General features: G+C 54.0%; 1 protein-coding gene across 6 annotated transcripts in view, besides 2 other annotated features; it reads right to left on the reverse strand.

Moving 5' to 3' along the window:
• The window catches only part of CELSR1 (cadherin EGF LAG seven-pass G-type receptor 1), a 176,447-nt gene that overhangs the window by 45,659 nt on the left and 105,892 nt on the right, over nucleotides 1–24,896 (reverse strand). For all 6 annotated transcript variants that reach the window (NM_014246.4, NM_001378328.1, XM_047441624.1 and 3 more), the window contains exons 6-9: nucleotides 4,770–4,927; nucleotides 3,566–3,729; nucleotides 2,923–3,048; nucleotides 2,164–2,330 (exon numbers count right to left, since the gene is read on the reverse strand). In NM_014246.4, the coding sequence (NP_055061.1) occupies nucleotides 2,164–2,330; nucleotides 2,923–3,048; nucleotides 3,566–3,729; nucleotides 4,770–4,927 (615 nt within the window). The remainder of the gene's footprint in view (nucleotides 1–2,163; nucleotides 2,331–2,922; nucleotides 3,049–3,565; nucleotides 3,730–4,769; nucleotides 4,928–24,896) is intronic.
• Nucleotides 3,034–3,535: an enhancer, noted in NCBI's record as "H3K4me1 hESC enhancer chr22:46805763-46806264 (GRCh37/hg19 assembly coordinates)". NCBI's record gives its function as "activates a minimal SCP1, AML or CMV promoter by ChIP-STARR-seq in naive H9 embryonic stem cells {active_cell/tissue: H9 hESC(naive)}" and the evidence as "EXISTENCE:reporter gene assay evidence [ECO:0000049][PMID:30033119]".
• Nucleotides 14,442–14,491: a silencer, noted in NCBI's record as "silent region_13911". NCBI's record gives its function as "represses an Ori minimal core promoter by ATAC-STARR-seq in GM12878 lymphoblastoid cells {active_cell/tissue: GM12878}" and the evidence as "EXISTENCE:reporter gene assay evidence [ECO:0000049][PMID:35858748]".

Raw genomic sequence — 24,896 nt, forward strand, 5'->3', positions numbered from 1 at the left:
CCCAGCTTCCCCTGATGCGGGATGGTGTCCAGGACACACTCGGCAGCAAAAGAAGCCCAGAGCCCAACGGAGCAAAGGCAATAAGGCATGGCTCCGCCACGGCACACAGCTGATGGCGGAGGACACGCAGCCCAGACGCCGCTTTGGGAGGGACTTCCTGACCGCAGGAGCGGGGAGGGGGGGTCATCCTGGGAGAACAGGGTGAGTGTTCCCGTGTGGCCGACCCCAAGGCAGGAGAGGAGGCTAACCTAAGGGCAGCATCTCTGTGCGCTGAAGGGAGGTCAGGAGGGAGCCCCAGGCTCACTCTGGTTGGAGATAATGAACAACCAGAAGGAAGTCAGTGCTGCTCTGAGACCATGTGCACCCAGGTCTCATCACATGGGTGCACACACATACATATACAGCCACATGCACACAGACATGCACAAATGTGCACGCATGGAGAGATGCACATACACAGACTGACATGCACACACACTTGCACGGAGATATGCGCACACACACACACAAACTTGGAGAAAAGCATAAGAGTCACATCTGTAATCCCAGCACTTTGGGAGGCGGAGGCGAGTGGATCACCTGAGGTCAGGAGTTCGAGACCAGCCTGGTCAACATAGCAAAACCCTGTCTCTACTAAAAATACAGCAAATTTAGCCAGGTGTGGTGGTGAGCTCCTGTAATCCCAACTACAATGGAGGCTGAGGCAGGAGAATCGCTTGAACCTGGGGGGCAGAAGTTGCAGTGAGCTGAGGTTACGCCGTCGCACTCCAGCCTGGGCAACAAGAGCAAAACTTTATCTCAAAAAAACAAAACAAAACAAAACAAAAAAAACCTAGGATGAAGGAAGGAATAACTCAGTTATGAATCTGTCAAATCAAGACAGAGCGCCCTGCTCAGGCACGGCTCCCACAGGCCACTCCCGTGCCAGGGGATGAGAATTAGGCCTAAGGAGAGACATAAAGGGAGCTTTTTAGGAGGGAGAATTGCCCAGTGAGTTTTCAGAGCTAGACCCTGATCAGAAAGGGTCACAGCAGCTGGGTTTACAGGAGAGCGCCCGTGCCCCGCCATCACTACAGACGAGAATGACCTTCAGATGCACAGGCAGAGGGGCAAGAGGGCAAGCCGAGGGCCGGGCACCCTCCTGGGGAGGGTCCCCATGGCTGCCTCATGCGGCGGAGGTTGTGGCAGAAGGGCAGCCCGATGACAGAAGACAGGGCTCATAACTGTTTCTCAAACAAAGTGTCTACGGAGCATGGAAGATGCGAGCAGAAACCGTGTGGCGCAGAAAACCGGAGGAAAGAGTGCATTCGAATCACCTTCTAAAAGCTGTTCGGAATTTTTATCCAACAAATAAACTTTTGTTTCAAATAAACGAAACAGTAAAGATCAATAAGACAGAGAAAACAGGCAGACAGCGACAGAGCGGGGCTTTAGGCATTTCTGGGCTGAGGCATCTCAAGCTCCCAGAGAAAGTGGACGTGCATTGGTGCCAACCACCACCTGGCTGTGGCTTTTTGAGATGGAGTCTCTGTCTTGTCGTCCAGACTGGAGTGTGGTGACACGTTCTCGGGTCACTGCAACCTCCGCCTTCCAGATTCAAGTGATTCCCCTGCCTCAGCCTCCCAGGTAGCTGGGGTTACAGGCCCCCACTACCAAGCCTGGCTAATTTTTTTTGTATTTTTAGTAGAGATGGGGTTTCACCATGTTGGCCAGGCTGGTCTCGAACTTCTGACCTCAGGTGATCCGCCGGCCTCCGCCACCCAAAGTGTTGGGATTACAGGCATGAGCCACCACCCCGGCCTGCACCTGGCTGCAGCTTTAACTGGTGAGGCTCACTGTTTCCGCCTGAAGGCTCGGCACCTCCCTCAGTTCTGCAATGCCCACGCTCCAGCCAAACCCTCAGGCTAGAGGGAGACCAGAACTGCCGCTGAGCTCTGCTGGGCCCCAGGGTTGGCCCAGCCCCATGCTCCCTCGCTGTCTCCGCCTCCCAGAGGAAAGAAAGGGCTGATATTCCCCTTCCCCCTCTTCGGAGAACCCCAGGGGCGGGCGCCGGAGGAAGGGCGAGTAGCAGGTGCCCGAGTGTGCACCAGGAAGCCCAGCGCCTGGGTCCCTCCCTCGGGCACCCACCTAGCAGGTGCCTTGGTGGCACGGGGCCCCAGTCACCTGGAGGCGAAAGCTGGTGGGCCCACCACTGGTGGCCTCCATCAGAACGCTGTCCTCCTTCCGGGTCCGGAACATGAGCCCCAGGTACCAGGGCACAGAGATGATGATGTTCAGGTCACTCCAGGACACGACGCTCTCACCGCTGAAGAGCTGGGGGTGAGGCATGGCTGCGGACACAGGCCCAGGGACCTCAGGTGTCTCCCGAAATCACACGGCCGCGGACTTGGCTGCAGGGGCGGGGGATGGGCCTGCAGGCTAGGCCTGGGCCTTTTTCACTTTAACACGAAGGTGGGTCTGAGCCTCCCCTCTGTGACGCATCCAGCCCTCACAGTCAGCCACGTGGGCTCCAGAGAAGCGCACCCTGGGACGTGAGCCTCCTTGCTGGGAAGCATGAAGATCTGCAGGCTCCCAGCCACAGATGGGCGTGGTAAGGGGCTCTCAGGCTTGACAGGAGGCAGACGGGGGCGGGTTCAGGATCCCTGGGCTCCGTGGCTGGGGTGCTGGGGCTGGGCTCTGCCGGCCCAGCCTACCTGTCCCACCCCACACCTGAGGGACTGGGGACCCCAGAAGCAGGAGCAGGGGCTCTGCGGAGGACAGTCTCTTGGAGAGGGCGGTGTGAGTCCACAGTAAATGCAGCATATACCACCAGAGGCTGCCGGACCTGGATGTGAAGCCCCCTCACGGTGGTCCCGGGCACATCAAGGAGCAATGCCTCCCAGGCCGCCGTGACCGGGGGGATGGACGACGCCGGCCACTCACCTTGCTCACAGTTCTTCCCGCCGAATCGGAGTGGACACTCACACAGATACATATTCCACCTGTTGACACAGGTGCCTCCATTCTGACACCGCCTCCCATCGCAGAAGTTCCTCCGAGCAGCGCAGCCTGGCAACACAGAGCGTGCGGCAGAGCCTGACTCGGAGGAACCGCCCGGGGTCCCCGGCGCCAGACGTGGCGTGGGAAACCAGGACGGAATGGACCCGGGGCTGGACAGAAGTCAGACCAGGTCTGAACGCCCCTGGCAACGGCAGGAACATGGGAACTAAGAAGGTGCTGAACGCACTGACCACATTTGGAGACGCTGGGACGCCAGGCCATCACGGCAGCCGGCCCGGTCACCTGGTGACACATATGCAAGACCCTAGGATCATGTGCGCCTCGGGTTAGCTGGCTGGGCCAGCAGTGCCAAGGCAACCCCAAACTGCAGATGCAGGAACTGCGGAGATGCACATCTCCAGCCTGGACTCCGGGTTCCATCCCAGGAGCTGCCCACCGCTGGACACATACATTTCTAAGAAAAACACGGCTCCCCAGGGATCTGCAAGCAGTGACCTCTGTGTGGCTGCCGACGTCCAGCCAGATGCCACTGCGGCAGCTCCGACGCCCTGACGGCCACCCGTACCTTCCCGGGTGCCATTGTTGGCGATGAATCCGGCCATGTCCACATTTTTGCCGTCGACTGACAGGTTCCGCATGCAGCCCACGAACTGCCGGTTGTGCACTGGGAAGTCTTCTGGCAGGTTGGGGACACCCCCCAGGAGTAGAGGGCCGGTCAGATCCAGGGACCTGGGTAGGTAAAGCCATCTTCTGTGACGTCAGGGCGGGGAGAGGCGGCCACGGCGGGCTGGGCTCCGCAGTTGCCTCTGTGTAGCCTCTACCACCATAACTACTTCAGAAACCAAGCAGACAGGCGGGGAGAGGCCAAAGTCAGAGGGGGCTCCTGTGTCTGGTGCCGCCACTGCCTCCGTTTGCTCACACTTGTGTTCAGTCCTGACGATCTGGGTGTTTCACGCTCACCAGTGACCACCAAGCCCCGCCCACCCAGGCTGGTCCACACCGAGACAGGATGTGAGCGCAGGGAGCACAGGTCAAGGCCAGCAGGGACTATACTTTACCCTTGCCTCTGAGACCTTCTAGGAAAAGGAAGGGCCTTGAAAGGAGGCCAGAAGAAAATGAGAACCCAGCACTTTGGGAGGCTGAGGCGGGCAGATCACGAGGTCAAGAGATCGAGACCATCCTGGCCAACAGGATGGTGTCTACTAAAAATACAAAAATTAGCTGGGCGTGGTGGTGCATGCCTGTAGTCCCAGCTACTCGGGAGGCTGTGGCAGGAGGATGGCTTGAGTCCAGGAGGTCAAGGCTTCAGTGAGCTAGAATCGTGCCACTGCACTCCAGCCTGGGCAACAGAGCGAGACCCCATCTCAGAAAAAAACAAAACAACAACAAAAAAACATAAGCCTCTGGGACCAGCTGGCTGACACAGTGCTTCACTTAACAGAGTCCTGGAGTCCCAGGTACCAGAATTTGCGGGGACAAAGCCAGTGATCCGTGGAGATGGGGCTGGAGACCGTCTCGGGGTCTGCAAGCTGGCCATCACAACCCTGGGGTCGGCCTGGCCACTCTTGACACATACTTAGGGAGACTTATTCTAGAAGGTCAGAGGGAAGGTGCCCCAACCATGGACAGGATGTCTGACTCTAGCCTGGAATGAGGTCGCCAGGGCACTGCACCCAGAGTGCCTACGTGGGGCCCTGCCCTGGGAAGGCCGCAGGGTGAGCATGTTTGGGGGTACGGACCCCCAGGGCCTCCCCTCCTGGGATGCTCACTTCTTGGAGCCGGTCTGAGTGCCCTGGGCAGCGCAGCTGTAGTTCCCGATGTCCTTTCCAAAGCGCACAGCCATGGTTGTGTCACAATCATCCACTGTCACCACGGCCATCTTTTCCCCGGACGGCCCATGGGGCAGGCCCAGGTGGCCAATATTGGGCTGTAAGAAGAGAAAGCACAGAAGGTGTCAGCGTTTTCTCCACCAGTGCCCTCAGCAGGCGCACCTGTCACTCATAGAGCGAGGAGGACATGGCACAGGGTGGGCGGCACGTAGACAAGGGATGAGGAGCCCCCGGCCTTTAGTTCCCCAAACTAGCTGTGCTGGGCTGCTCAATGCCCCCTCAAGTTCTGCTTCCCAGAATCTCAGAACGTGGCCTGGTCTGGACAAAGAGCTGGTGCTGATGGAATTAGCTAAGATGCGGACGTCCTGGAGTAGGCGGGCCCTGATCCAAGATGACTGGTGTCCTCTTAAGAGGACAGATGCTGAGATGCAAAGGCACACAGGGAGAAGCTGCGTGACCGCGGAGGCAGCTGCTGGAGCAGCTGTTTACAAGCCAAGGGCCACCTGGGCCACCGACAGCTAGGAAAAGGCAGGAAGGGTCCTCCCCTTCAGCCTTCGGAGGAGGCACGGCCCTACCCGCGCCTTGACTTCTAGGCACCAGACTGAGAGAGAATCATGTCTGTTGTTTGAGCCACCCTGTCCGTGGTACTTTGTGATGGTGGCCCCAGGAAATGAAGTTGCAGCCAACACCCAAGTCCTGGGGCCCCTCCTGTGAACACCCGCTTCTGCTCTTCTGGGGGTGTCCTCCTGACCACGGCACCTGGCCAGGTTCGTGCTCCTGGAGTACAGACACCAGGAGGCCACTGCCCGGCCTGCAGACGGCCCCACATCTCCCCTCTAAGGCGTGGAACTCCCTCTCTGGGCCAGGATTGGGTACAAGAGTTCTTCTGGAATCAGTGACCTTGGGTGAAACCTTTCCCTTCTCCAAGAGACTGTGGTTTGCCATCCGGGGACGAGCCCACTTTCCCCAGACAGCCCTCGCAGGTCTCAGCTCCTGGTCAGTCCCTCCCAGGACACGAAGCATATCCACCCAGCCAGCCTCAGACGCCCTTCCAGGAGGAAAAGCAGCACCCGCCCTACACAATCCATGCTGGCCACGGAACTTAAGCATGTGGGTCTCAAAGTTCCAGAAACACAGTTGGTGCCAGCTCCAACCGGGACAGGCAACAGAATGTCTTTCATCTGCACAACCTGGATAACAAGACCTACATCCCACAGGTGGCCGTGACGATGAGCCAGGAGATCGCCAGGCAAGTGCCACCATGCCCCACAATTGGCACACAATGCGCAGCAGAGCCTCCCCCTCCACCCCAGAGAGAACCTTTTCTTCCAGTCCCAGCAGGGTCCCTCCCACCACCCCTATAAAGGATGGGTTCGATGCCTCCTCCTGATAGTTCTGGGGTCAGTTTGAGTTTATAGCATGATACAATCTCATGCTTCTTTATAAAACGTGGAAATAGATCGTTGTAAAAACGTAGAATTTAATTAAATCATCCTCAGTGCCTTTTAATAGGAAAATAACAACCACATAGTTCATTCAAAAATAAATCTTCAGTTTTTAATAGGAACAAAGTATCTATTTTGATCAGGGAAACGAGGCTGAAAAGCAGGACACACAACTGGAAACAGGAGCTCAGCCAGATGGCCAAGTTGCATGACTTCTGGGGACCCTGGACACCCAGGCAGCACGCCCTGCCTGGAGTTGTGCAGTGGGCAGCCTGCACAACTGTATGTGGCCACCCCAGCTGAGGCTTCTCCTCCCTCTTATCCAATCATCTAACGTGAGTGAGACCCATGACTGTACCTCAATTTCTTTTTGTGCAAGATAACGATTTACTATTAGAACACACGTCCTCTCTGTGTTACAGGGAATTGAGGATGATATCAACAGAGATACGTGAGTTTCCCACACGCCCTTGTCTGTAAATCCAAGGGAGGCTTCTACCATGACCCCTGGTATTCGAATGCATGGATCACCTTTTTCATTTTTCTTTTACATCAGCTGATGAAATCACAAGGTCTGATAAGCTGTCTCCTTAAAGACTCCACTTTTGGTTAAGCAACAGGTAGGCGAGTGCATTAAAAATCATCTGTTTTCTCGCTGTGTAACGCGGCCCACTTTGGAAAACGCGTGGAAGTGCCCATTATGGGACGCTTAAATGTGAGATGCGATCCCAGGGAAAGGAGAACCTCCCCTCACTTTGTGAGCCCCACCTTATCTTTACAACTTATAATTTACATTTTTGGGGCTGGGCGTGAGACTACTGGAGGAAGGGCGTAAGTAGCATTTACACTGGGAAGGCTTTCATGACATTAAGCTACTGTTTACAAAACTGCAGTTGCTGTAAACTGCTGCTGGTAATCAATGGCTCAGAGCTACGGATTCAAGCAAAAAACAGCAGGATAAAGAAAGCTGGAGGCAAAAGACAAAGCCAATGCAATCCACGCTTGTTTTTCGAGTGGCACTGACTCATGTGAGACACCCACTGCTAGGACACCTGACTTCAGTCTGGCCTTCGTGAATCAGAGCAGCAGGCACAGGGCGTTTAGGAAACGGTCTCTGATAGACAGCGCCCAGGATGTGCTGCTCGATTCTGACTCCCAGAGACACCCACCGGCGGCCACTGGGTCAAAAGTAACAGCACTTTTGGCGAAAGAGCCGAATGTTCTCAGGTGGAGAGCTGGAAGAACCAGCAGGAGGGCTGCACAGAGGAGCGGGGGGATCTGTGGGGTCTGAGGTCCCTGCTGCTCGGAGGAGAAATCACAGCATCCCGATGGCCCATCCCTCTCCTGTCACCCCTGAATAGGTGCTGAGTGAGGCTCTGGTTTAAAATGCCCGCCTCTCGGCGAGTGTGGGTTTAACGCGCAGGCTAACCGTCCACTCTCCCGCCTCTCGGCGAGTGTGGGTTAAACACGCAGGCTAACCGTCCACTCTCCCGCCTCTCGGCGAGTGTGGGTTTAACGCGCAGGCTAACCGTCCACTCTGCAGTTGAGGCCAGCAAGTGTCACGGAGGCAGGGAGTGCATGGACACGGTGCTGTGGGTGACCTGAGACGCACAGACGGGGGTCCCCAAAGCATTAAACGCAGAACTACTACATGACCCAGCACCACCAGCCCCAGGCGTGTACCCAAAAGAACTGAAAACAGGAACTCAAAAACCAGTTCATGAGTGTTGACGGCGTTGCTATTTACAACTCACAAGAAGTGGAAACCACCTAAATGTCCATCAGTAGATGAGTGGGCAAACTGTGGCCCATCCCTGCACCGGAATCGCAGCCACCGAAAGGCACGAAGCGCTGACACACAACGGTGCGGGGGTCCCGGAACACATCGCGCTCAGTGAAAGCAGCCAGACACGAAAGGCCATGCACCGCGTGACTCCATTCCTACACAATGTCCAGGACAGGCACATCCACAGACACAGAGCAGACAGATGTTGCCAGGAGCTCAGGGAGGAGGATGGGGGGTGACTGCTAATGGTATGGGGTGATGAAAATACTTCTTTTGAGATGGAATCTCGCTCTGTCACCCAGGCTGGAGTGCCGTGGCATGATCTCGGCTCACTGCAACCTCCGCCTCCCAGGTTCAAGCGATTCTCCTGCCTCAGCCTCCCAAGTAGCTGGGACTACAGGTGCCCATCACCACACCTGGCTAATTTTTGTATTTTTAGTAGAGATGGGGTTTCACCATGATGGCCAGGCTGGTCTCGAACTCCTGACCTCAAGTGATCCACCTGCCTCGGCCTCCCGAAGTGCTGGGATTACAGGCATGAGCCACCGTACCATCCAGCCTGGGTGATGAAAATATTTTATTATTTTTTAAAAAGTTACTATTGGTTAACTGATGGCATGAAAACATTTTAGATCTCAATAGAAGTGGTGTGGTACAATACTCTGAATATACTAGAAGCCCCTTTAAAGCTTAATTTTATGCTATGTGAACTTCACCTCAATAAGGAAAAAATTAAAAAAAAAAAAAGATTCCTGGGTGGGCATCCCCCCTCACCAGCCCCCTGCCACTCTCCACCTGAAGAACTTTCGGGAAGATCCTTCCAATTTTTCCCTGACATGGAGAGAAAATGCATTATTTGGCCTTCCTGCCAGGTGGCTATGAGTGATAAAACGCAGTCAGAGAGGTGAACATTCTCCAGGAGGGGTCGAGAGGCGCATGGACAATTACACAGGCGGCTTGAATAGGGATAAGTGAAAACAGCAGCAGATGTGTGTGATCTGGGCTCAGATCATCCATTTTTGTCAAAGGAAGACAAAGTGCGTCTCCGCTGAAAGGCCGGCGTGGAGCACGAGGCGGCGGCAGAGAAAAGACTACGTGGTGGTAACAGCTCCCGACTGTGGGGTGGCGTGTCCGCCTCTGAGTTTTCCAGCCAGGAAAAGCACTTGGTGGCTTGGCTGGGTCACAGCTGACGATGAATGGTACAGGTTGCAGAGGGGGGCGGATAAGGAATGAGACAGACGAACCGCCTCCTCACATTTCTAAGAGGAATTTTTAAAGTTTGCCACATATTTATACAAAAGAAAAAGACAGCGTGGGAATGAAGGGGGCCACAGGGTTGTGTCTGAGTTTTTTCTCAATTCTTGTGTTGGAAAGCGCCGGGCACAGGATGGGCCAAGGCCAGCACGGTGGAGGCCCCAGCGCCCCGGCACCTGCCCTTCCAGGGCTCAGCTGGGTACTGCGCAGCAGCCGGCCAGGCCCAGAGGACCCCCCCCAACCCCTGCACCAACACCCCTTGCAGGAAAGGCAATTCCCAGGCCTCGCTTCCAGGACATAAAGCTCAGTAGCTGGACCTGGTCACTCAGGCCGAGCAAGGCAGGCAGCGCACACAGTGACTGGAGACAGCAGGGGCTGCCCACGGTACCTCTACACCCCTCGGCGGGCAACCCTGGCCAGCACAGGCTCCCTGGGGCAGGCGGAAACAGAGCCAGCAAGGAAAAGCCACATGCTCACTCCTGCAGCCACCTGAGAAAAAACCTACAGTGCCGCTGAGCACTGCAAGGAGTGGCCCAGAAGCGCTAAGCTGTGCAGATCCGGAATCCTGCTCCAGGAGTCATCCCCGGGGTCCAGCCTCTTCTTATTTTCCTTCGAGGTATTTTCTTCCCTGCGTGCAGGCCCTCCTCCTTGGCTTCCACTCAGCCGCTCTACGCAGTGCTGGGAGTTTCTGTGTGCGCACAAAAGCATTTGGTCCTTACGAAGTGCTCACATTTCTCCAGCCTTTTAACCTGCTGCAGACGATTCTGCATTGGGAGGCCGGTGGGGGTACGGTTTCAATGCTGGGGAAGGTAGCAGGGGAAGGCGGTGTGGGGGGGTGGGAGGGGCACGTCTTAGGAAATGAATGAATTCATGCTCTGTGTCAGAAATGATTAACCAACGTTCATATCAAAGAATTCACAGATGGCTGGACCTCAGGAATGTCTGTACAGAGTCAAACTGCAGCGCTGAACGTTCCATGCTGTCATTTCTCAAGATGACAAAGTTCAGGCCTGTCTGGCCGACAAATGCCCCAGGAAATGTGGGCAAGACCCCGTGCCAGTTCTGGCATGGAGACGACAAGCTCTCCCTCGGAGGCAGCCACTGCAGTTCTCCGAAGCTGCTTGGGAAAGTGGTGGGAAGGGTCACGAGGAGCAAATTCACGCAGATGCACGCAGCCTTCCAGAATTCAAACTGGCCTCCCAGGAGCCTCGGACAGGACTTTGCCAGAATGCAAACCTCAGACCGAGCTGCTACTTCCTGGTGGTCCCAATACCCCTAGGCAGGTAACAGGACCCTGTTCCGCCAGGTAGCCACCCTCTACACAGGGGCTGCCGGCTGCTTTTGATGACCTGGCTCGAAGGGTGCGGTATTCCCCCAGGGCTGTCAGCAGCAAACCGTCTGGAAGCCCAACTGAGCCACTGGGCCACCGGGTGGGGAGGGCAGCTCCACACTATCCCAGGTTGTAAGGGGAACTCAAGTTCCTCTGCCCAACTCTGGCTGAGGGGGACAGGTGCTCCTGAATCCCTCACCTGCCAGGGACCTGGGGCAGAAGACATACTCTATGAGCCTAGGCAGACTCTTCTAGAAAGGGGGTAAGTGCATAGCTGCTATCTCTAGGGCTGTTTGGGAATGAAATGAAAGGACGGATCTGAAACTGTGCAGTGTCTGAGCTGGCGTGGCTGATATTACTATCATCCTCATTCTCAACTCAGAGTCCAGCTGGGCGGGCCCAAGGCCGGCGGGGGGCTCACAGGACAGCAGTGTCCACAGCATCCAATGGACATCACCTCCTTAAAGCCAAGGGTCCATATCCTGCCCCTACTTGGGAAAGTCACATGACTTCCCTGCATGCCAGGACTTGGCTGTACAACTGGGGGTAAAAATAGCATCTTCCTCGTGGGACGACATGAATGACATGTGTGAAGTGCTTGCAGCCATGCCTGCTATTGTTACTTCTTGAAAAGATGTGAAGAAAAGCAAAATAACATGCAAGTGGTTTTCTCAAGTTTTGCTGTTTTAATACTTCCCTATATTAAAATAACATAATACAGGGGCTGAACGCAGTGGCTCACGCCTGTAATCCCAGCACTTTGGGAGGCCGAGGTGGGCGGATCACTTGCAGTCAGGAGTTTGCGACCAGCCTGGCCAACAAGGTGAAACCCCATCTCTACTGAAAAAATACAAAAAAAATTAGCCAGGCATGGTGGTGGGGGCCTGTAATCCCAGCTACTTGGGTGGCTGAGGTGGAAAATCGCTTGAACCCGGGAGACGGAGGTTGCAGTGGGCCGAGATTGTACAACTACACTCCAGCCTGGGCGACAGAGCAAGATTCCGCCTCAGAATAAATAAATAAATAAATTAAAATAAAATATAACATAAAATCATAAAGTTGATTTTTACATCTTTAAAGAAAAAAGCAGCAAGTAAGCAACTCGTGCAATTAGCCTCTCCGCTGAACCCGCAGGCTCTTCTCCAGGAGCTAAGACGCAAAGCCACCTGCAGCTTGGAGTTCGGGCACTGGCCCGCCATTTCCTCCATTTATTCAACTATCCAAGAAAGTAATGCACGGTGCTATTAGGCTTATTGTGGGAGCATTAGAAAAGTTTTCAACAAAGGTCAGAACCAACCGGTCACCTAGAGATTCTTAAAGAAATCACACAAAGCCTTTTATTTCTCAGGCAAGGGGGTCTAACCCGTTTCCCCGATGATTCTGGCCAAAGACAAAAGTGAGGAGCTCTGTGCTTTCCTGATGGACGTATACAGTACATTTGGAAACACAAGAACCGTGGGTCCGGAGGCAGGAGTCCCCTGGGCATGCGTGTTCAGCACTGGACGGAGATAAGCTCCTCCTACAGAGCTCCATGATCCCCGTGGTAGTTAATTTTGTTCTGGAAATGATCCAGCAGGGCACCGTGCCAGCCCCCACTGAGCCAGACCCTGGACCAAAGCCCCCAGTTCCATGGGAGGAAGCCAGGGCCATCTCAGCCCTGCTCCTTTGGGGCTCAGCCATCGGGACCAGGTCACCTCTGCGGCCAGGCTACTCCCCCAGGTGTTTTGGGAGCCTGGGAATTATATGGGGATTTGCTCAGAGGGGGGTCTTCTTGCCAATGACAAATGAAGGGCCAAAATGCAGTGAGATACAGCGCCTTCTTGGAAAGCAACACGTTCCTTCTCTTGGGGATTTTATAGGCAAAAAGTTGCTTGGTACAACCTGAGGGACCCTCCTCAAGCACTCAACAAGAAGCTCACTCATGTTCCTCTATGGGTGGGAGGCATCTCAATCCTAATGCTACTCCCAGCTAGAGAAATCCTGACAAGCGGGACAAGGAGGAACGCACACTTCCGAGCTGCAGCCTCCCGGGGCCTGCCTCCTCCACACGGGCACCGGGACAGAGTGCCTGGGATGGGGCCTCTGAGCTCAGCCCCCACAACACAGTAGCCTGAGTGTCCCGGGAAAAACAGGAGAAAACTTCAGGAAGGATGGCAGGTGGGCTACAGTTCCCTCGAAAATGACTTTTCTGAGCAAGCAAAAAAGCTTACCAAAAATGTGTACACTCGCCCACTCACACTCACGTGTGTACACTCACCCACACTCGTGCATACTCAAACCCACACGTGCACACTCACCACTCACACTCAAATGCGCCCTCACCCATGCACATGCACTCATACTCGTGCACATTTACCCACGCTCACGTGCATACCCGCATTCACACCCACATGTGCACTCCCACACGTGCCTTCTCACATTCATGTGCATTTATTCATACGCTCACACGTACACTTACCCAAACTCATGCACACTCACCCACGCACACGTGCACTCACCCTTATGTACACTCACCCACAATCATGTGCATACTCAAAACCCACGTGCACTTACCGACACTCACACTCAAATGTGCACTCACCCACACGTGCGCTCATACTCACATGTGCACACCTACCCACACTCGTGCATACTCATCCACATTCACACTCACATATACACTCACCCACTCAAATGTGCCCTCACCCACACGTGCACTCATTCATACTCACATGTGCACACCTACCCACACTCGTACATACCCACATTCACACCCACATATGCTCACCCACACTCAAATGCACTCGCCCACACACGTGCACTCATATATGCACACTCAGCCACTCATGTGCACTCACGTATGCACTCACCCACTCGTGCACTCATGTGCACATTTACCCACATGTGCATGCTCACCCACTCAAATGTGCACTCACCCACACATTTACACGTGTGCTTCTTCACACACGTGCACACACCCACACACATGCATACTCACCCAGGTGCACTCACCCACTCACGTATGCACTCACACGTGTGCACACGTGGACACACCCACTCACATCATTCATACTTGCATGTGCACACACAGATATACTAGCACACACTTGTGTGCACACATGCTCACCCATACTCGTGCTCATGCTTGCACAATATACTCACCTGTACACACTCACCTTGCACACAGTCTTGCACACTAACACATGCTCATACAAAGTCATGGCCTGCTCCTGTAAAGACCTAATAGTCCCCTCTCTGTCCTCGATCTGGGCCCGCGGGACCCCCTTCCTTAGTCCCCCTGCCTCTTCTTGCCCTGATGACCTTTCTGACCAGCCTCCCTCCCTCCTGGCCTGCATCCCACTAAGGGGTGACATGCTCAGTATCTGTGTGATAAGGTGAAGGTGGGGAGAGGGCTGAATTGGGGGACAGAGCATGGAAGCGCCTGGATAAGACAGGGAGAAGGTGGGGGCCGGGGATGGTCACGGCAGGAAAACGCGACAGCCCTCGGATGGCACGTCCCAGAGCAGCGGATACACGGGTGGGTGAGAGATGCTGGGTCCATGGCTCCGCCTAAACCCGGCCCTCCCATCATCTACTCTGTGCTTCAGTTTCCTCATCTGTGAAACAGCAACAGCACCTCCTCCTCCAGGAGCTAACATGAGGATCACGTGGGGGACACACATGAGCCTGGCACAAGACAGGACATCAGCCAGTACACTTCAGCCACCACCACCCTCCCTGCCGAGGTGCTGGGGGGGTAGAGGCGGGAAAGGCCAGGAGCCCAGAGAGGGGAGGGAGGCAGCCGTGGCACAGTGCATCTCAGAGCCCCAGCAGTGAGGGGTTGGGTGGGGTGGGAAGGATGGGGGTGAGACAGAGGCTGCTGGAGGACAGTGGCTATGATGCCAGACAGGAAGCAACCTCAGCCGGGCGTGAAACTGAGGGCTGCTCCAGCCCTGGGGCGACTTTCCATAACAGGGTTCTGTAACACAAAGGCCCAGGGTGGGGCGGCGCTTGCCTCCGAGAATCACCACGTTTCCATAGCAGGTGACTTTCTACCACCTGACCAGGCCTGTGTTTGGGAACGGAAACCAAGTGACTTATCTGTCACATCACATAGCAGCATCGGGGCAGCCCCCACCTGCCACAGCGCCTGCAAGCAGGGCCCTGCACCACCTTTCTGGCAGAGCTCGCTAGCCACCTGAAGACCCCTCTATCGGCTTCTATGCCCCCATCACTTGGGCTCAAGGAGGCAGGAACATCCTGAGTCCGAGATGCAGGGTAAGTAAAGGCAGTGGCCGCCGACTTCACCAACTGATGGGAGCACGTGCAGACTGCCTTAGCAGAGGCCCCACTAGTGGATTTGACAGAACACCTGCTGGGGCTGGAGAAGCCAGGGAAGCTCACGAAGGGCGTGACCTTTCACGCAGCCACGGAACACCTGGGGAGCATCCCCATCCCCTCCTCTTAAACACGGAACTTCCTATGAGACAGAATCAAAGCCAACAAGGCCCTGAGGGCAAAATTACCAGCCTGCATGGCCACCTCCTTTATCATAAGGATTTTACATACTTTGCAAGGCTTAATTAACTTTGTAAAAGTTTAGCTTCTTTATCTTACATATTCTGTATATCCAATTATCTTTTTGTTTATTTTTTTTGTTTTATTTTTGAGACAGAGTCTCACTCTGTCGCCCAGGCTAGAGTGCAGTGGCACGGTCTTGGCTCACTGCAACCTCTACCTCCCAGGTTCAAGAGATTCTCCTGCCTCAGCCTCCCGAGTAGCTGAGATTATGGGCACCTGCCACCACGCCCGGCTAATTTTTTTGTATTTTTAGTAGAGATGGGGTTTTGCCAGGTTGGCCAGGCTGGTTTTGAACTCCTGACTTCAAGTGATCTGCCTGCCTCGGCCTCCCAAAGTGCTAGGATTACAGGCGTGAGCCACCGTGCCTGGCCCTCAAATGATTTTTTTAAACAGAATATTTAAAAGAAAAAACCAGGGCCGGGCGCAGTGGCTCACACCTGTAATCGCAGCACTTTGGGAGGCCAAGGGGGGGCGGATCACGAGGTCAGGTGACTGAGACCATCCTGGCCAACACGGTGAAACCCCGTCTCTACTAAAAAAAAATAATAATAATAAAAAATAAATAAATAAATAAATAAAAATTAGCCGGGCATGGTGGTGGGCGCCTGTAGTCCCAGCTACTCAGGAGACTGAGGCAGGAGAATGGTGTGAACCCAGGAGGTGGAGCTTGCAGTGAGCTGAGATCACGCCACTGCACTCCAGCCTGGGCGACAGAGCGAGACTCCATCTCAAAAAAAAAAAAAATGGCTCATAGTCCCATGACCCAGATAACTGCTATATTGTTTTTTTAAATACAAAGAACTCAAGTGCATGTAAGAAGGCACAGAAGGGCATAAAAGGAACACGAAATCCACCTCACTTTGCATTCTTCTTCCCATTGGTATCCACCTTTGCTATAAGGGCCACGATGATGCCTCCTGCACTGTACGTCTGGCCTCTGCAATGCCACCTCCTGGCTCTTGCCACCAATGGTCCATGTCTCTACCTAGAGGCTGGGCTTGGCCACATGACCTGGGCAACAGGACATCAGGGCACAAGGACACGAGATAAGGCCTGGAAAGCACCGTGCACTGGGACTCGCCCTCTCTGGCTGCTAGGAACCCCCTGCCACCAAGTGAACGGCCAGGGTGGCCTGCTGGAAGATGAGAGGCCCCAGCTGCCATGGCTAACGGCCAGGTCATATGAGTGAGGCCTTCACACAGCCCTGGCTGAATCGCATAGACCAGAAGAACCAGCAGCCAAACCACTGCATCACCAGGAATAATAAATATCTGATCAAGACTCCATGCTGGCCAGGCGCGGTGGCTCACGCCTGTAATCCCAGCACTTTGGGAGGCCGAGGGGGGCAGATCACCTGAGGTCAGGAGTTCAAGACCAGCCTCAACATGGAGAAACCCCGTCTCTACTAAAAATACAAAATTAGCCGGGCGTGGTGGTGCAGGCCTGTAATCCCACCTACTCGGGAGGCTGAGGCAGGAGAATTGCTTGAACCTGGGAGGCAGAGGTTGCGGTGAGCCGAGATCGCGCCTTTACACTCCAGCCTGGGCAACAGGAGCGAAACTTCGTCTCAGAAAAAAAAAAAAAAAAAGACTCCATGCTTTAGGCAGTTTATGACCTTGAAAAAGCTATCCGATGAGCACTATTAACAAGTATGGGCCGGGTGCGGTGGCTCACGCCTATAATCCAGCACTTTGGGAGGCTGAGGCAGTTGGATCACCTGAGGTCAGGAGTTCGAGACCAGCCTGGCCAACATGGTGAAATCCCATCTCTACTAAAAATACCAAAATTAGCCAGGCGTGGTGGTGGTGCGCACCTGTAATCCCAGCTACTTGGGAGGCTGAGGGCAGGAGAATGGCTTGAACTCAGGAGGCGGAGGTTGCAGTGAGCCGAGATTGTGCCAGCCTGGGTGACAGAGTGAGACTGCATCTCAAAACAAACAAAGAAAAAAAACACAAGTTTGTTGTTTTGGAGAGCATAGGGTTATCCTTCAGAAAAACATATGTATATACCAGCAAACATTGTAAATCTTAAAAAAAAATTTTTTTTTAAGACAAGAGTCTCACTCTTTCGCCCAGGTTGGAGTGCAGTGGTACAATCATGGCTTACAACAGCCTCGACCTTCCAGGCCCAAGTAATCCTCCCACCTCAGCCTCCCAAGCAGCTGGGACCATAGGCACATGCACCACACACCCGGCTAATTTTTTTTTTTTTACTTTGTATTTTGAAGAGATGTATTCTCCCTATGTTGCCCAGGCTGATCTTGAACTCCTGGGCTCAAGCAATCCTCCCACCTTAGCCTCCCAAAGTGCTGGGGTTACAGGCGTGAGCCACCACACCTGGCCTGAAAGTTATTTTGATGAAACTTTCTATTTTGAGACAATTTTAGAGGTACATGCAATTGTAAAACAATAATACAGAGATATCCCATGTACCCCTTACAGTTTCCATCCATGGAAACACCCTGCAAAAAGATAGTATAATATCAAACCCAGGTACAAACACTGACACAGTCCAGACAGAACGTTCCATCACTACAAGGACCCTGCCTGTGTCCTATCACAGCCACACCCACTTCCCTCCTGTCCCCAGCCCAATCCCAGGCAACCACTACTCTGTTTTCCATTGTTATTCTGTCGTATTAAGAATGTCATAAATGCCAGGTGCAGTGGCTTATGCCTGTAATCCCAACACTTTGGAAGCACGAGATGGGTGGATTACTTGAGGTCAGGAGTTCAAAACCAGCCTGACCAACATGGTGAAACCCCTTCTCTACTAAAAATACAAAATTAGCCGAGCATGGTGGTGTGTGCCTGCAATCTCAGCTACTTGGGAGCCGAGGCAGGAGAATCACTTGAACCCAGGATGTGGAGGTTGCAGTGAGCTGAGATCGTGCCACTGCACTCCAGCCTGGGATACAAGGCAAAACTCTGTCTGAAAAGCAAACAAACAAAAAAACACAATGTCATACAAACGGAATCACATAGTATGGTCCTTTTGGGGGTTGCCTTTTCCCACTCAGCAGAGTGAGAAGTTGTTTGGTGCTAAGAAGTATTCCCTGTTCCATGGTACGGACATACCAGTTTGTTTAACCATTCACCCAGTGACGGCCATCTGGGCTGTCTCCCATTTGGGGATATTATGAAAAGCTGCTGTACCACTTGTGTGCAGGTTTCTGTGTCAACATGAATCACATCTATATTCATGAGGAACAGTGGTCTGTGGTTTTGTTTAGTCTGTCTTCATCTGGTATTGGAATGAGGGTAATGCTTCATGAACTGAACTGGGAAGTGCTCTCTATTTTCTGGAAGAGATGTTGCAGAATTGATGTAATTCTTTAAATATTTGTTAGAATTCTCTTGTGAAGCCATCTGGGCCCGGAGATTTCCTTTTTGGGAATGTTAAACTACAAATTCTATTTCCTCAATAGTGTATACAGCCATTCAAAGGACTGACTTCATCTTGGGTGAGTTGTAGTAGTTTGTGTTTTTTGAGGAGTTGGTCCGTGCATCTGGGTTTTAAATGTACACATGTAGAGTTCTTTTTATTAATTATTCCCTTATTACCCTTTTTAACATCTACAAAGCCTATTTTATTCCTGATATTGGCAATTTGTCTTCTCTTTTCCTTATCAGTCACGCTAGAAGTTTTCCCCCGCTTTGAAAAGATTTTGTTAATCTTAAAGAATCGGCTCTTTGTTTCATTGATTTTCTCTATTGTTTTGCTGTTTCAATTTCACTGACTGCTGCTCTTATCTTTATTATTTCCTTCTTTCTGCTGGCTTTGGGTTTATTTTGTTCTTATTCTAGGTTCTTGAAGCAGAAGCTCAGATTATTGATTTGAAACATCCCCCTTTTCTAATGTAAGTATTTAGTGCTATACATTTCCCTCTCAGCACTGCTTTAGCTGCAGCCCACAGCTTTTGTTATTTTGGATTTTTATTCCCTTTAAATTTGTTTTAAAAACCTTCCTTCTTCCCTTCCTCCCTTCTTTTTTGAATAATGAAATATTTCAGTCACGTCTCTATGCAGACCCATCTCCAACTGCTGGAGTCGGCTAGTACCATCAGGGCTGAGTGAGGCAGAGCAGCAAGGCTGGGGAGGGCGCAGCCGGGGAGGGGGCTGAGTGAAGCTGCAGCCTGGTGAGGTTGGAAGGTTGTTTAGATAATGGAAGGTTGAGAAAAATCACTAACTATACTGAGGAAAATGAGAACAAGGTTTCTAACTGGTAAAGAGTTACACATATAGAAGAGGAAAAACAACAAGAATGACCTCTAACTCTGCTTGGGTTGCTGTAACAGAGGCTGAGCGCCTTGTAAACAACATGCATCTGTTTCTCACAGTTCTGGAGGCTGCGAGTCCAAAATCAAGGTGCTGGTAGATTGAACGTCTGGCAAGGGTTCGCCACCCGGTTCCTAGACCACACCTTCTTACCACATCCTCACATGACAGAAGGGGTGAGGGGCGGTCTTGGGGCTCTTTTATAAGGACATTCATTCCACTCGCGGGAGACCCTGATCACCTCCCAAAGGCTGCACTTCCTAATACTATCACCTTGGGGGTGAGGATTTCAATATAGCAATTTGGGGGTGCTATGGTCTGAAGTGTCCCCCAAAGTTCACGTGTTGAAACTTCATGGCCAATGGGATGGTTTCAAGAGATGGGCCCTTTAGGAGGTGGTAAAGTCATGAGGGTGAGCCCCTCAAGAATGGGATAAGGGCCTCAATAAAAGGGCCCATGGGAGTGGGTCCACTGTCTTGCATTCTTCCGCCATGTGAGGACCCCAGACGCTGCCATTTATGAGGAATGGGCCTTCGCCAGGCCCCAAACCTGCAGGTGCTCAGGCTTCCAGCCTCCAGGACTCAGAGAAATCAATCTCTGTGGTTTGTAAGTACCCAGCCTTGTGTGTTCTGTTACCAGGCAGCACGAATGGGCTGGGACGGCATCAGGGGGATGTGAATGTGCAGAGCAGAGCAAACGCAGCAGTGCTCCAGTGAAGTTCATGGCTTCCAATAGGGAGTGATAGATAAATAGGAAAAAAAGATCAATATGAAGTGTGTGTGCATGTATATATGTACACACACACACACCTACACAGACGTCTATGTCCTAGCTCTGCCCAGTAAGAGAGACTGGGAGTGAGACACCCCAAAGCAATGAGCACACCAAGCACCCAGATCTGGATTTCTAAATGCCACCCTCCACTAAAAGAACCAGGCTCGGCCAGGTGCAGTGGCTTATGCCTGTAATCCTAACTGTTTGGGAGGCCAAGGCAGGGAGATCACCTGAGGTCAGGAGTTTGAAAACAACCTGGCCAACATGGTGAAACTCCAATCTCTACTAAAAGTACAAAAATTAACCGGGTGTGGTGGCGCGCACCTGTAAACCCAGCTACTCAGGAGGCTGAGGCAGGAGAATTGCTTGAACCTGGGAGGCAGAGGTTGCAGTGAGCCAAGACAGCAACAAAGGCGCCTGGGCGACAGAGCGGGACTCCATCTCAAAAATAAAATAAATAAAATACACCCTACAACTATGGCTTTTAAAATCTAGTAACAAGATCCTGGGAGCTCCTCCCCTCATCACCGCACAGAACCCCACCGCACTGTTGGCAATGGTTGTTGACGTTCCGCTGTCGGAGGACCTTATATTCTATTAAATACCTTCCAAGTTCGTTTCTGTAAGTTGGATTCTGTGCGTGTAATTGGCACTCAATTAACATGGAAGGGAGAGAAGGAGGGAGGGAAAGGGAAGGCTACGTGGCCTCACCCAGGGGACCACACAACTGTCTAACCACGGCAGATCTGTAGAGCCCAGAAAGGGTCCCATCAAAAAACCTCACCCTGACCCAAGTGTCTGGGTGGAAGTCCTCGAGTTTTTAGAACATGTGCAGAAACGGAGAAGCTCCCCCGACCCCAGGGGTGCTCCGGGGGTACATCTCCCACTCTCCTTGGGACTCTGGGGTTTAATGTGCAGCACAGACCCAAGAGGTTTTGAATGACCTGACAAGCAACAGGTGAGCAATCCCTAATGACAGCAGGACCTAGCGGTCATCTCAAGGTCATGGAAATCTCAAAGCACTTACATCCTCTGCTCAACAGAAGCAGAGGCCGGTCCTCCGGTTTGTTGCAACCGGGCCTCATGCTGTCTTTATAAAAGCACTTTCCGCAGCATGCCAAAGACAGCCCCGCGCCATCTCAGAATCACCAGAACCAGAGGAAGCCAAATTGCCGAGGCAGAGTCCCAAGGACTCCAGCAGCCAGCTCAGGCATGGGGCTTCATTGCGTGTGGTCTAGCCACCCGTGGCCAGCATGGCGATCGCGACCAGCACAGCATCGTCCCCGGCCAGGTGACGGATGCCGAGTGCCCCTTGGAGACCACCTGCTGCCCACGTAGAGGCTGCTGCCTCAAGCTCCGGCCCAGGGTCTCGCATCTCCACCTGAAGCTACCAGGACTCCCGCTAGCTGAGCTCCCGTCTCACTAGCCCAGTGGTTCTCATCCAGGGCATGACCTCAGGGGCCTGACAATGATGAAGACCTCTTGGTTGTCAAAACCGGGTTAGGGGAACAGCTGGAGTCTAGTGACCAGAGGTCAGGAATGCTGCCCAGAACAGGCCTCACAATGAAGGGTCATCGTCCCCAAGGGGCGGCAGTGCCCAGGTGGGAAATCCTGACGCGGCTGCTCACCGCCTCCCACATCTGCTTCATGCGGGATCTCCCAGCAGCTCTGGGCCTCCTGGCGCTCCACCTCACTGCCTCACTGCACAGCTCACTCACGGGTCCCCAGCGGGCCACACTGCCTGGTGTCCATGTCAGGCACTACCTCCCCTGCATGTCCCTGCCTCCCCAGCTGGCCAGGAGACTGTGCTCCAGGCTCTGGGCAGGCTCAGCTGGCTTTAGAAGATGCCCAGGTCAGGTGGACACGAGCCACCCTTGCTTCCCCAGGGCCCCGTTAAACATCTTGCTGGCACGTCTGTGTCCCCGACCCTGCCAGGAGCTCCTGGAACAAGGTGGGGTCTAAACGTGATCCCCGCAGGCAGCCTCAGGGAAGCACAGTAAGGGAATGACCCGCTCAGTGCAGCCCCGAGGATCCCCATCCTTCCAGACGGCCCCTCCCTAGCACTGTCTCCGTGGGGAATAAGCTTCTCCCCACACTTCCCAAACACCCAGGATGCCGAGGGCGATGGAGGAGCAGCAAACACTTAAGCATAATGAGGGCAAAACCGATTCTCAAGTGGGGAGAACGTTTTCCGTCAGGCATGTCCACCCTTTTGAAGTTGTGGACACACCTTCAAACCAGCCTTGAGGGAAAAAACAAACAAACAAACAAACAAAAAACCAGCCTGGGGTGAAGCAACGACTGAAAATGCTCCACTCGGCCCCAAACCTCCCGGCGTGGCTGTGGGCGTGGGGGCTGTGTTGTTCATCTGTGCTTGGCGGAGCGCCACACAAATGTACAAGTGCCTGCCTTTGAAAAGACCGTCCTGGAAAAACGTCCGACTCCAATGTACCCTTTGGTTTTGCTGAAGGTGAATTAGACCAATAAACCTTCTCGTCTAAAATGTCATCAGGCAGAAAGGAAAAATAAACAGACTCTGCCTGCTCCCTGCCTGGGAGGGTTCCCTACCCCATGGCTTCTGGTGGCTTTGGCCAGTGGGGAGCCAGACGGGAGGATAGAGTGAGGGAGGGGAGGGGTGTCAGGAGGGTCCCTGGTTAGCTGTGCCCCTCCTGGGTGGTCCGCAGCCCTCTCCTGTGGCTTCTGACCATGACCCCTTCTTTCTGGGCTCCAATCTGCCCTTTCCCTTGATGCTCTAGGACTAAGGGCCATCGCAGCTCCGCTGGCACTGCCTCCAGCCCTGGGTCCCACACCGCCTCTCATGGATGCCCCATGCCCTGCCCAGCCCTTTGTAAATAACCCTTCCAGGGCTGGTCCCACTGGAGCACCCCATCTGCTTCCTGTGGGGACCCTGACTGCTCCACCAGCCTGGCAGCTCCCAGGCCCTGTACACTGGTGGGTGGGGGAAGGGTCCCCGCAGGTTGCACGTGGAGGCAGTGCAGGAGGCCACTCTGACAGGCAACACCCGGGAGATCATGCTCAGATCTAAAATGCAGGTGGCCCACACCTCAGAGACACAGCCACTCTGGAGGGCGGGGGACAGAGAACGAGACTGAAGAGAGGAGGGTGGGCAGCAGCGGCATGGCCCGCACCAATGCTTCCACCCTCTCCAGACTGCTGTATGCTGAATTTTTTCAAGTATGTTTTCTTCATCATCCCCAAAAATGCAAAAACCAAAACCAGCGAGGTGGTGTGGCAGGTAAATGGAGCGTGCTGGGGCAAGGACACAGCTGGGCGGGGCAGGGGGGATGACCGTCTGCATCAGCCAAGGCAGGCAGGGACGCGTGTGCAGGGGGGTTCCCTCGGCAGTGTCACCCACCACCCTCAAGATCACCCTTGCAGCCCCAGCCCTGAGCCCCTCTCAACTGGTCATGGCCCTGGACACCCCTCATCGTCCAGCCCCAACGCCTCCTCCTCCTGGGGGTCCCCTCCCACCCTGAGCCTGTCGTCTTCCCCAAAACCTTCCCTGGTGGCCCAAGGTCACCCCCAAGGTGGCTGCTGGAGGACAGGACCAGAGGTGACATTGGAGACAAAGTGGAGGCCCAGAGAGCAGAGGAACCAGCCCCCAGAAGATTGTCTTCCTGACCTCAAGCTGGCCCCCGCCACCCCTCCAGGCCCCCACACTGCTCCCAACCTGACTGGTCCTGCCCCCAGCTCAGGTGCACTCCAGAGGAGGCCTCTGCACCTGGGTTTGTCAGAGCTGCCACTCGGAGACTAAGTCACGGAGCAGCAGTACTGTCTCCTTCTCGGGCTGGTGCTCATAATCTCTGCTAACACATCCTAGTGTGTGGCCCCGTCAGACCTCCTAATGGACGCCTGAAGACACAGTAAAAACTGGTTGGTTTCCTCCATCAAATAACCTCAGGCAAGAGAGAGAAGTATCTGGCGCTCGCAGGAAAGGCCTAATCCCACACGGGAGGCTGTGCTCAGGCACCGCTGACAGGACCCGGCCCTAGACACGGAAGCCATGGATCCCGGTAATCCACCGTCCTCTGTGTATCTTCTTACATGAGGCCCCTCTCCTCCGGGACAGTGCAGGTGGCGTCCTGCACGGGGACTTTGCTCCTCTGAGCTCCCGGAAAGGGGCGGCCACAGGCGGGCCCCAGTGAACACTCACTGTGTTCAGAGCCAGGGCGGAGTGTGGACAGAGGTGGCCACAGTGGCGTCCTGGCTGCGAGTCCCTCTGCAACTGCAGACACACTGTTGCTTCTGCCATAGGCAGATGATGATTCTGGAGTGTTGAGCACTGATGGGGAGACCAAGGCTGACTCGACCTCCCCCTGCCTACCCCCTCCCCAGCAACAAACGTTCATCTCTGGACTTGGTCTTCTGATACGTGCAGGAAGGAAAATGCGCCACCTATGCCCTATGCTTCCCTGACGATGGGGCACCGTCTCCAGGGTCCCCTGTGGCCCAGCCCTTGGGAGGCACCACCCCAGGGGGCATTGAGCTCTGGTGTCCAGCCCCAGCTGGCTGGAAGGGCACAACAGGAAGGGTCACCAGGTCAGAGTAGGCAGCGCCAGGCAGCAGGACGCAACGGCCACCCGTGCAGCTCACCCAGGTGAACGCGCTTCACACTGGCTA

The sequence above is a fragment of the Homo sapiens genome, chromosome 22, assembly GCF_000001405.40.
Source record: "Homo sapiens chromosome 22, GRCh38.p14 Primary Assembly".
Classification (NCBI taxonomy): Eukaryota; Metazoa; Chordata; class Mammalia; order Primates; family Hominidae; genus Homo; species Homo sapiens.